This window comes from Homo sapiens, chromosome 2 (assembly GCF_000001405.40).
Source record: "Homo sapiens chromosome 2, GRCh38.p14 Primary Assembly".
NCBI lineage: Eukaryota > Metazoa > Chordata > Mammalia > Primates > Hominidae > Homo > Homo sapiens.
The window spans coordinates 187,223,622-187,237,004 of NC_000002.12; the positions used below are offsets into that span (position 1 = coordinate 187,223,622).

General features: G+C 37.1%; 1 long non-coding RNA gene across 3 annotated transcripts in view, besides 1 other annotated feature; it reads left to right on the forward strand.

The window, feature by feature from the left end:
* CALCRL-AS1 (CALCRL and TFPI antisense RNA 1) overlaps positions 1-13,383 on the forward strand; it is a 544,253-nt gene that overhangs the window by 220,349 nt on the left and 310,521 nt on the right. The gene's annotated exons all lie outside the window — the stretch shown is intronic.
* Positions 1,278-1,984: an enhancer, noted in NCBI's record as "OCT4-NANOG hESC enhancer chr2:188089626-188090332 (GRCh37/hg19 assembly coordinates)". NCBI's record gives its function as "activates a minimal SCP1, AML or CMV promoter by ChIP-STARR-seq in primed H9 embryonic stem cells {active_cell/tissue: H9 hESC(primed)}" and the evidence as "EXISTENCE:reporter gene assay evidence [ECO:0000049][PMID:30033119]".

The window sequence follows — 13,383 nt, forward strand, 5'->3', positions numbered from 1 at the left end:
CTCATAATTCTGGTGGCTGGAAAGTTCAATATGGGGCATCTGCATCTGGTGAAGGGCCTCTTACTGCTTCAACTCATGGTGGACAATGGAAAGGGAGCTGGTATGTGCAAAGAAATCACATAGTGAAAAGCAAGAGAGAGAAACCAAGGAGTCAGACTCTTTTTAACAACCTGCTCTCTTGGGAAGTAACCTATTCCTGAGAGAGTGAGAACTCACCCTCTTAGGAGGGCATGAATCTACTCATGAGGAATCCATCCCTATGACACAAACACCTCTCACTGGCTACTCCTCAGTGCTGCCACATTGGAGATCAAATTTCAACATAGGTTTTGACTTTTGACAGGGGCAAACCAAACCGTAACAAGTGACAAGCTTTGATTTTTGCATATTAACAAGGTCATTCGGGCAATATGTGATGGGGAGGGTTAAAGAAAAGGGGCAGTTGAAATGCTCTGGAGATTCTACTTTTGATGCATTTAAATATGTCATAAGTTACTGCTTCACACATAGTCCATCTGGCACAGTATTTGATGCATAATACTGGCAATACTGAAGAATGTATACAGATCTTTAAAAAATTGCCTGTAAATAATTCTATTTAAATGCTATGGGAGAAGAGTAAGCTATGTGTGCTACAACATCATATAAAAAGAGGACTAGAATAACCTGTAGGGTAAGGAAATTTCCCTAGAGGACCTAATTTTAAATAGTGTCTCCATGATTAACAAGCATTGACTCAGGGAAATAGTAGTTGAAGAAGAGGGGAGAGTATTCCATGAAAAGGAACAGGAGGTGGAAGAAACATCATTCTGGGACTGAAAAATTACCAATATGACTGTCATGTGAAAAAAAGGGAAGGGGCATGAGATCAGAGTACATATTAATCTGGTGCAAAAGTCATTGCGGTTTATGCCATTACTTTTATTGTAAAAGCAAATGTAAATTACTTGGTTGGTGTAAAGTAATGACTTTTGCACCAACCTAACAGATGTCCAGAGTTTGGGTTAAGGATTTTTAAAAACCTCTATTCTTAGAGAAATAATAAGTCATTGTCAGTTTTAAAGCAGGAGAGAGGTGACAGTAATAGAATTTGTCTGTAAAAGAATACTCTATGTAGAGAATGGATAGTTCAGATGATATGTCTGTGGGGTGACTAGCAGTCTAGGTAAGAGTTAATGGTGATTTGGACTAGGATGCTGGTTAATGAGATGGAGAGTGGGCAAATTAGAAAATTGAATCAATAGGAATTAGTGATGCAGAATGTAAGTATGCTAGTTTTCTTTTGCTGTATAACAAATTACCATAAATTTAACAACTTAAAACAACACCCATTTATTTCCTCACAGTTCTTTATGTGGAAGTCCAGAACAATGTGGCTGGAATCTCTAGGTATCATTAGGCTGAAAGCAGAAATTTGTCATGTGTCTTCATTTATAAGCTCTGGGGAAAAACCCATTTCCAAGCTCATTAACATTGTTGGTGGAACAACTTTTGAATTGTAAATTTGAGGTCTCTATTGTCTTCCTACCTGTCAGCAGGGGGCCGCTCTCAATAACTAGATAGTATGCGCATTACTTGCCACTTGACCTCCTTTATCTTCAAAGACAGCATCACAGAATCTCCCTCCTATGGAATCTGTGTTAGTCAGTTTTCATGCTGCTGAAAAAGACATACCAGAGACTGGGCAATTTACAAAAGAGGTTTGCTTTTTAAAACCGTCAAATCTTGTGAGACTTATTCACTATCATGAGAACAGCAGGGGAAAGACCTGCCCCCATGATTCAATTACCTCCAACTGGGTACCTCCCACAACATGTGGGAATTTAAGGTGAGATTTGGGTGGGGACACAGCCAAACCATATCATTCCACTCGTGGCCCCTCCCAAATCTCATGTCCTCACATTTCAACAGCAATCATGCCTTTTCAACAGTCCCCCAAAGTCTTAACTCATTTCAGTATTAACAAAAGTCCACAGTCCAAAGTCTCATCTGACACAGGGCAAGTCCCTTCCACCTATGAGCCTGTAAAATCAAAAGCAAGTTAGTTACTTTCTAGATACACTACTGACAATATATCATGTCAATCTTTCCCCCATTCTTTCTAAAGGATATCTACAGCCTTTGACAAGGGTAACTGTGCACTGGGGAAAGGGAAATGATCAGATATTTTGGGGACTACTGGACACTGGCTCTGAGCTGATGTTGATTCCAAGGGGCCCAAAATGTCATAGTGGTCCTCCAGTTAAAGTAGGGGCTTATGGAGGTCAGGTAATTAATGGAGTTTTATCTCAGATCTGACTTACAGTGGATCCAGTGGGTTCATGGACTCATCCTGTGGTAATTTCCCCAGTGCCAGAAAGCATAATTGGCATAGACATTGACTTAGCAGATGGCAGAACCCCTACATTGGCTCCCTGACTGGTAGGGTGAGGGTTATTATGTTGGAAAAGAACAAATGGAAGCCATTAGACCTGCCTCTACCTAGAAAACTAGTAAATCAAAAACAATATTGCATCTCTGGAGGGATTGCAGAGATTAGTGCCACCATTAAGAACTTGAAAGACACAGGGGTGGTGATTCCCACCATATCCCCGTTCAACTCTCCCATTTTGCCGGTGCAGAAGAAAGATGAATCTTGGAGAATGACAGTGGATTGCTGTAAGCTTAACAAAATGGTGACTCCAATTACAGCTGCTGTACCAAACTTGCTTTCATTGCTTGAGCAAATTACATCTCTTGGCACCCGGTATGCAGCCACTGGCTTGGCAAATGCCTTTTTTTTTCCATTTCTGTCCATAAGGCTCAACAGAAGCAATTTGCCGCAGCTGGCAAGGCCAGCAGTATATGTTTACTGTTCAGCCTCAGGGGTATATCAATTCTCTGGCTTTGTGTTATAATCTTATTCAGAGAGACCTTGATCACTTTTTGCTTCTACAAGATATTGCACTGGTCTGTTACGTTGATGACATTATGCTAATGGGATCCTGTGAGCAAGAAGTAGCAAACACACTGAACCTACTTGTGAGATATTTGTCAGAGAATAGAAAATAAATTGAATTAAAATTCAGGGACCTTCTACCTCAGTAAAATTTCTAGGTGTCCAGTGGTATGGGGCTGTTGAGATAGTCCTTTTAAGATGAAGGATAAGTTGCTGCATTTGGCCTCTCCTGCAACCAAGAAAAAGACACAATGCCTAGTGGGCCTATTTGCATTCTGGAGGCAAAACATTCCTCATTTGGGTGTGTTACTCAAGCCCATTTATCAAGTGACCCAAAAGGCTGCCAATTTTGAGTGGGGTCCAAAACAGGAGAAAGCTCTGCAGCAGGTCCAGGCTGCTGTGCAAGCTGCTCTGCCACTTGGGCTATATGACCCAGAAGATCCAATGGTGGCTGAGATGTCAGTGGCAGATAAGGGTGCTGTTTGGAGCCTTTGGCAGGTCCCCATAGGTGAATCACAGTAGAGGCCTCTAGGATTTGGAGCAAGTCCCTACCATCTTCTGCAGATAACTACTCTGCTTTTGAGAGGCAGCTCTTGGCCTGTTACTGGGCTTTAGCGGAAACTGAACGTTTGACTGTGTGTCATCAAGTCTCCATATGACCTGAACTGCCTATCATGAACTGGGTGTTTTCTGACCCATCTAGCCCTAACGTGGGGGTTTTTTTTTAGGAAGCTAATATTTTGTTATTTGCTGTGGCCTTTAGTGTAACTGTTTATGATTTATGAAAATATGCTGAAGTGACAACAGAAGAAAAATCCTAATGAATAAGTTCTATTAATTTATAAGAAATGTGTGAGGTGTTATATGGAACAAAATAAACCAAGCAAGAATAAATGAGACCCCCAGGATCTATTTTACTCTTCAAACGCATAAATTTCCTACAGGGAAGAAAAAGATAATATAAAGAGAAGAAGGAGAGAATGTTCCAGCAGCAATGAAGCAACACCAGCTTTTGTGAGGGTAAGACTTGGTGGTTCATGGGGAGGCACATTGCATGATTTTGCCTCTTTAACATAACTGCATGCAAATAATAGAACCTCATAGTGAAAGTGCACCCCCGATGAGAATGCATTCAGGCAAGGAAAAAAAGAACAAGTTCTCAGCCCCCAAAACAAATAAAATAAATTGCTTGAGTTAAAATTAGCTGAAGTCAGTTCACATTCAGTAATGGTAAATCCAACAAATATTTCTTGTATAATTTTTCTACTCTTTTTTTTATGAAAAAAATAAGCCCCTATATTTGTATAAGCATACTTTATTTTCTCTGTTATGTTATAAACTCTAAACAAGCAAGTACAGAAAAAAATACATCTTTTGTAACTCTACTTTTTTTTTGAAATGCCTAAGCGTGAGAAATGGTAACATTTTCAAAACATTATATTAGGTAACAGCACTTTCATAACAAAATTCTAAAAAGGTAAATAAGTTTACAAAGTTATTTTTCAAAATTTTGTGATTCTGGGCCCATAGATGACTATTCTCATATTTCATTAATGTATTATATATAAATAGAATTGACAATGACTTTTTTGAATGAAGTATTCTATATCTGCATAAGTACCCCTGGCAGCTTCTACCAATGTTAAGGGAGGTGATGACATTGACTAATTTTCATTTTATGGAACAAAATGTTGAATCAAGCAATAAAATTCCTGAAAACAGTTTTGATGGTTGTTTTAATAAGTGCCTTAACAGTTGAATTGGTGATTTTATATCTTGATAAGTTGTGACAAGTAACATGGGCTGAGACTCTTCCCCAATAATTTAATAATTTAAGCTGTATTATTCCTGCTAATATTGACCTGGGCAAGAAAAAAGTTACAAAATGAAAAAAATCTCTGGGGCCTAGGTTTTTTCATACTTCAAATGGAGTTCACAGAACTGTTGTAAGAAATAAATGAAATAGTGCATGAGTATAATCAGGAATATAGTGATGTACAATAATAATTATCATTATAAAACAATATTTTCTCCTCAATATGGCATGCTTTTTATCCTTCACACTTCCTGGTGATCACATACAAGTCTAATTAGCATACATATTTTGATAATACTCAAACCAAACCATCTGCAATGTAGATCTCTTCTAAGATTTAGACTCATTTTTTCATTTCTTTATGAATATATATATTTTTGGCTAGGAAATAAAATGAACGTTAGCAATAAGGTTGGGTTTTTTGTTGGTGGTGGCGGTTAGAAAAAGAACCTCAACCCATCTTATTTACTGGATCCAAGGTTTCGTAGAATGTTTGTATATCTTACTCAAGGGCAACAGAACCTAACTCTTCATTCCTCCATGCTGTATTGTTTGGCATTCACTATAAACTTTTTTTTTTTTTAATGCTGGAGAAACTCAAGTCCTCTGACTATTTTCTTCATCCATTATATACAGTCTGTCACTGTGAATTGTTCATGGTTCTGCATGTGGTTTTTGCTGGTATAACCAAGAAAATCTCAAGATTTTTATACAATTTGTTACAAAACAAGCTCTTTTATTGGGCTTGGAATTACTGAGCTATGAGACTGGAGCTCTTATTTCCACTTTGTCACCACAGGAGACGAAAATGCCTAAAAATAGAGCTCAATTGGGAGAAGAACAGCTGGCACACAGAAGCTGGGGATAGCATAATGGCATCATTTGTGCCTCTTATCAATTTGTGCTTATATCTGGGCTTTTTATTTCTTCTGTTTGTGGCATTCTGGGTTGAAATCCCTGTCACTTGAAACTGAGGGATTCCTTACTCAATCACATGATTTTCTATCTCCAACATTTCCACCTTAGTTCAGATTTCCATTTCTCTCTTGGATTGCTCCAAAGCCCTACAACTGATTTCTCCTGCTGTAAATATGAGTATTTTCTGTCAGCTCTCAACTCCACAGAGCTCTCAGAATGACCTACCTAGCATACAGATCTGACTATGCCATGTCCCTGCTAAAAATATATTTTCTGACCACAGTGTAAAGAATAATATCTTTAACATTGAGTGTAGAGCCCTATGAGATGAAGCCCCCTACCTAACTCTACAACCTAGTTTATCATTTTCCCCTCTTAATATTTGTGTATCAGCAGCACTGAACAGCTAGTGTATTTCTCTTACAAACACACTGCAGTGTTTTTCAATACCTCCACTTTACTCAAGTTCTTTTGCCTAGAATACACTTTCATTTTTCGTGTCGTGGAGTCTAACTACTACTATTCATTCCCCTATGCACCAAACCTAGGTGAGGTGTCCTTAACCTGTGTTTTAGAGTCCAATAGTCGTTTTTATCATTGTATTTACCATATTATATTGAATGGATTTGCTCATCTCTAATCAATGCCCCACCTTCCTGTTATCCAACCCACACATATGACCATGTCTTTTTAAATTTTTTTTTGAATCCCTAGCACCTTAAGAAGTTCCTGAAAAATAATGCCCAGTAAATGTTTATTGAACAAATAAATGTACAGAAAAACACTACCTTGCTACTTGGCTCTTTGTTTAATTCTTCAGAAGAGGATTAAGTATGCTGCCCCAGTCTGACAGAAGTTGAATTTGTATTTCAACTTCGAAACCAAGTTTACATTAATCTTCCATTTCAGAAGAATATCTCATTGCTATTCATCAATTAAAGTCAAATTGATACTTCTGTTTTCAATTGAGCTAATGTATTGCATTAAATTTTCCTAACTTCATTACAGCTTACTGACAGCCTAATGACTGCAGTATATTTCAATTTTGCAAGAACAGAGAGTGCAGGAACCCATTCTAAATTTTTATTTGATAATCGTTACCTCTCTCCGTATGGTCACAAGAGCTTCTTTTTTTCCCCCTGTTGCTCCAGTTGGGATTTTCACCCCTTCTCTCCTTCCATTTCCACCTTTTGTACATAGCAAAAGCCAATGATGTCCTACCTCCCCAACTCTTCCAAACCCTATCCATAAGACAGCCAGTCCTTATTCTTTATCTCAGCATTATTTCAGCACATTCTAGATTAGGGTCTGATAACAAAGGACTGGCTGTACTTCTAGATAAGAGGAAAGAGGAAGGAATCCCACATGGAAGTGTCTCTCTGGTACCAGCCTTTTGTCGAGTGCTACAGCAACCCTACTTTAATGCCAGGAGCCACAGAGAGCATCTTCAGCACCACTCTATTTCTTTACATTCTGATTCTTAGAGGATTATAGATAAATAGGACTCTTAAACTGAAATCAAAACATTACTCTTTTCTCTTTTTTCCCTTTCTTATTGACACCGCTAGAAACTTGGTCCAGATTATCTAAATTTAAGAAAAATGAAACTTCTCTTACTTCTCTGCCTTTCTGTAGTTGTTGCCATCTTCTCTCCTTTCCATCACATTCAAAAGCTGTCAAAGCATAGACTACTATCTCCTCTTCTATTTCTTTCATTCATTCTTTTATTATTTTTATTATGAGATACAGCCTACATAAAAAAGAGCATAGAAAATATATATGTTTATTTGGAAGAATAATGATAAAGCAAACACCCCTGTAATCACCACTGAAGTCAACAATAAGATATTACCAGCATCTTGGAAGCTCCCCAGCTGCTGCTGTATAATCCCAAAGCCCACTTTCCCTCTTAAAGAAGTTATCCAGAAGTATGATTTTTAAAATAATAATCCTGTTACTTTTCTTTACAGTTTTATCACCTTATACAGAGCCCTAAAATATATGATTTAATGTTGCCTATTTTGCAACTTTATACATATGCTTCATGGACTACATATGTTTCTTTCACTCCATATAATGTTCATGATATTCGATTTGCCCTACATAGCTCTATGTATTTATTTTTATTGCTGTCTATATTGCTGCTGTAAGACAAGATGAATGGTCTTGTGTATGTTTCCTGCTTCATGTACAAGATTTTCCCTTGATTATAAACCTAGGATGGAATTATTGGTGTGCATCTGCAACTTTAGTAGATAAAGCCAAACTGTTTTCTGAACTCATTGTGTAAATTTACAATCCCTCTCTTAGTCTTTAAGAGTTACTACTGCTCCAAATCTTTACCAATATTACTTATTGTCAGATGTTATAAGTTTTGTAAACCAGGGGGTCTACAAAAGTTGAAAACTATCTTAATGGTTATCTAAATGTACTATTCTTACTTCTCACCCCCTCCCCCATCTCTTTTGATGTTAAAGCAAAATACACAGAGAATAAAGGACACAAAGCTGGTGTAGTGGATTGAATGGTAGCCTCCCAAGTGATATGTCCACCAGAACCTGTGAATGTGATCTTGTTTGGAAGAAGAGTCTTTGCAGATGCAATTAAGATAACGATGCTGTGAAGAGATTACCCTGGATTATCATGGGCCATATATCTAATGAGAAGTGATTTTATAAGAGAAGAGCAGGGAAAAGGACACACAGGAGAAAAGACCATGTGAAAACAGAGGCAAAAACCTGCATTATGCAGCCCCAAGCCAAGGAAAATCTGGAGTCACCAGATGAGGAAAGATTCTCTTCTAGAGACTTCAGAAAGAGTGCGACCCCCCAACACTTTGATTTTGAACTTCTGTCCTCCAGAACTATGACAGAAAAAATTTCTGCCATTTTAAGCCACCAAGTAGTAATTTCTATGATAACCCTGAGAAACTAATACAACTACTTAGTGTCTGAGAACTAGAACACCATTCTAAAATATCTAGTTGATGACTTTACTCATTACAAGACAACATGCCCCTTTTTCTCACTCCACATTCTTTATTCTAGCAGTTGTAACAAAACAAAGACAGGTAATAAGCAATGTTAATTCCATCTGCAACCTTAATTCCCCTTTGCCATGTAGCCTATGGCAGGTGAGCAACCATTACTGCCGGAGCTCCACCTCCTGTCAGATTAGCAGTGACAATGGATTCTCATAAGAGCGTGAACCATATTGTAAGCTGCACACGCAAAGGATCTAGTTTGCGCACTCTTTATCAGAATCTAACTAATGCTTGATGATCTGAGATGGAACAGTTTCATCCTAAAACCATTCACCCCCACCCCCAACCCTCATCCATGGAAAACATTGCCTTCCACTAAACTGGTTCCTGGTGCCAAAAGGGTTGGGGACTGCTGGCTTAACATAGTCACAGGTTTTGGAGATTAGGATGTGGACATCTTCAGGAGATCATTATTCTATTTACTACACTGTGAATCTCTTTTGTATTTCAACAAGGTAAGGAAGGAGATGCAGGTCATACCTAGAAGAGGTAATGATAATGGAAACAGATAAAGTTGGATAAATCACAAAGTTGGATGAACAATTAAGCCTGGGACTATGGACTCTGGCAAGAAGCCTCACTCACCCCCTCAACTCCCAACTCTGCTCTCTCTGTGACCTCGCTGCTTCCTGATTCATATTCCAGGCTGCTGGACTTCCTGTCCTGCTACATAATATCTGCCACCTAAGTTTAAAATAGTCTTTGATCTCACTAATTAATTCCATGAAAATTGACCTTGAACAAAATCTTTTCTATAAATTCATTTATCAAAAATGAATTAAAAAAACAAAATCACTTGTGTATATTTTATATTACTTCTCTAAATATATATCTTGTACTTTCCTATTTCAAGTAATTATTTCAAAGTATTTTATTCAAATATGGGTACATAGAGTGCTTTTGTAATTGCACTTAATTTGTTTCTTGATAAATTTCTCCTCATCAAATAAATAGAAAATTAACATATTCTGAATTCGATCACTATACGGTTACCACCTCTGTGAATAGGAATAATTAGCAAACATTTTACCTACATTTTTTTGCCTTTTGAGACATGAAGAATTAAAATTATGTTACTAGATACTGAATTCATAGGTCTGAGATCTAAAAATGTCTGAAGAAGAATGTGTTCAAATTAATGCCTCCTGAAAAGGTATTTAGACATTATGGATTTTTCCATTTATTGCAATTATATACAAGTTGGCTGGGCATGGTGTCTCATGCCTGTATACTCAGCACTTTTGAGGCCGAGGTGGATGGATCACCTGAGGTCAGGAGCTCGAGACCAGCCTAACCAATATGGTGAAACTCCATCTCTACTAAAAATACTAAAATTAGCCAGGTGTGGTGGCGGGAGCCAACTAGTCCCAGCTACTTGGGAGGCTGAGACAGGAGAATTGATTGAACCCGGGAGGCAGAGGTTGCAGTGAGCCGAGATGGCACCACTGCACTCCAGCCTGGGTGACAGAGACTCCGTCTACATATATGTAAGTTGTGAGTGGAATGTGCATTGACTTAAGAACATTCACATGTGAGAAGAAATTAAGTTTCAGTAGGTGATGGGAAGCAGTCTTGGTGGACTAATCTCCTACCGTTACCATCATTCTTTTTTGCAGAAATGATAATTATACTTTAGGAAATGATGACATGTAAATGAATCATCCCTCCTCCCTTCTCATGACTTAGGGAGAAGTTACACAATGAACCTATTTGCCCTGCTGCACTAGAAGCAAATTTTAGGTACCCTGGCCTCTATGGAACTGGGAGGCTTATACACTGATATTAGAGAGATGAAGGACTTGTGATTGCCAGGAAACCACTATTTTCTCCCACTTGCTCATATCCTTGCCCCAACTCTTCCCCCAAAACTGTGAGGAGACAGGTCTGAATATCCCTCAGATGAGTGAAAGATGCTCAGCTTGGCTTAAGAGACCTAAAATCTTAAGTCGTCCCTTAATGCTATCAGACTGAAGACAAGTGATAAAGAATATGTTGATAACTGATATTTGAATGGCTCTAATGTTACATGCATTTCATTATCTATTCATTTTTGCTTTAAGATGCATATAAACTGTTTCCTTTTAGTAAATGGAACCGTTTGAAAGAGAAAGGCATTTGTAAGGAAACGTTGAGAATATGTTATTAGAACATGTTTCTTTCTCCATTAGTTCATATTACATGGGTTTACATTATATGCATTTTAAATAAAATATGTTAAGATAAATGAAAATAGTTATATTTAGGCTGTTAGTATATTATACATATAAAAATATTTTGTAATAAAACTTATTTTGACATTATATAGATTTAATTTTGTTTGATCACAAATTACTATTACATTATTATTATTATTATTATTATTATACTTTAAGTTTTAGGGTACATGTGCACAATGTGCAGGTTAGTTACATAGGTATACATGTGCCATGCTGGTGTACTGCACCCATTAACTCGTCATTTAGCATTAGGTATACCTCCTAATGCTATCCCTCCCCCCTTCCCCCACCCCACAACAGTCCCGAGTGTGATGTTCCCCTTCCTGTGTCCATGTGTTCTCATTGTTCAATTCCCATCTATGAGTGAGAACATGTGGTGTTTGTTTTTTTGTCCTTGCGATAGTTTACTGAGAATGATGATTTCCAATTTCATCCATGTCCCTACAAAGGACATGAACTCATCATTTTTTATGGCTGCATAATATTCCATGGTGTATATGTGCCACATTTTCTTAATCCAGTCTATCATTGTTGGACATTTGGGTTGGTTCCAAGTCTTTGCTATCGTGAATAGTGCCGCAATAAACATATGTGTGCATGTGTCTTTATAGCAGCATGATTTATAGTCCTTTGGGTATATACCCAGTAATGGGATGGCTGGGTCAAATGGTATTTCTAGTTCTAGATCCCTGAGGAATTGCCACACTGACTTCCACAATGGTTGAACTAGTTTACAGTCCCACCAACAGTGTAAAAGTGTTCCTATTTCTCCACATCCTCTCCAGCACCTGTTGTTTCCTGACTTTTTAATGATTGCCATTCTAACTGGTGTGAGATGGTATCTCATTGTGGTTTTGATTTGCATTTCTCTGATGGCCAGTGATGATGAGCATTTTTTCATGTGTCTGTTGGCAGCATAAATGTCTTCTTTTGAGAAGTGTCTGTTCATATCCTTTGCCCACTTTTTGATGGGGTTGTTTGTTTTTTTCTTGTAAATTTGTTTGAGTTCATTGTAGATTCTGGATATTAGCTCTTTGTCAGATGAGTAGGTTGTGAAAATTTTCTCCCATTTTGTAGGTTGCCTACTCACTCTGATGGTAGTTGTTACATTGTTTACAAAGAAAACAGTATGCAAAGTTTTGTATAAATTTTAGTTAAGTGCATTTAACTTAATTTTAGTTAAGTGCATTTTTTAATATGACCTGTTTTTAAATTGGGAACTATACCCTAGTTAATAAATTAACTTTTCAGTGGAGCTGGTTATTTATATTGTTTACTGATTAATGTTTTTAATTAGCAGAACTTATTTTTTAGAGCAATTTTAGGTTTACAGAAAATTTAGCAGATCATATAGAGTTCCCATATACTCATTCTCCCTCACTCACAGCTTCTTCTATTATTAATCTCTTGCATTCTGTGGTACATTTCTTGCAGTTAATCAACATACTGAAATACTGTATTAACTAAAATCCATAGTTTACATTAGGGTTCCTCTTTGTGTTGTGCAGTCATATGGATTTTGACAAGTGTATAATGTCACATAACCACCTTTACGGTATCTTGTAGGCTAGCTTCACTGTCCTAGAAATCCCCTGTGTTTTACCTATTTATGTCTCTTCTCCCAACTTGAACCCCCGGCAACCAATGATCTTTTTTACTGTCTCTGTAGTTTTGCCTTTTCCTGCAGGTCACGTAGTTGGAATCAAACAAGATATAGCCTTCTCAGACTGGTTTCTTTTATTTAGCAATGGACACTTAAAGTTCCTCCATATTTTTGAGACTTGATAGGTCATTTCTTTATATTGCTGAATAATATTCCATTGTCTGACTGTACCACAATTTTTTTTTTATCCATTTGCCCTTTTGAGGGACATCTTTGTTGCTTCCAGTTTTTGGCAATACACCCTCTATAAAAATTCATGTGCAAGTTTTTCTGTGGATATGGCTTTTAACTCATTTGGGTAGATATCTAGGAAAGCAATTGCTTGGTTCTATGGTAAGACTATGTTTAGTTTTGTAAGCAACTAGTTTTCTACAAAGAAAACTAGTTTTCATAGAAAAGCAGCAAATATACCTTTTGTTTTTAAATATGTTAAACCTGAGGGGAATGGCTTTAAAACCCTACATATTTTACATAATCTTTTTTCATTATTTCAGTTTTTATAAAATTTCTTTTTCCCAATCCTGGTGTACTATGCACCAGGCTGACCTAAAGGAGAGGCCTTCTTTGCTTTCTATCTATAAATTTAAATTTTTTTTTGACAAATTGATACACACATGAGTTTTGACAGAAATAGAATTGCCTTGATAACTCTTCAAATGTAAGTTTAATGAGGTAAGAAATAAATAAAGATTATTTGAAATCTCAATAGAAATTCAACTATAAAAGTCAAAATAGTTTAGATAAATATATAAAGGGGAAAAGTTGAAAATGTTAAGAATACCACATATT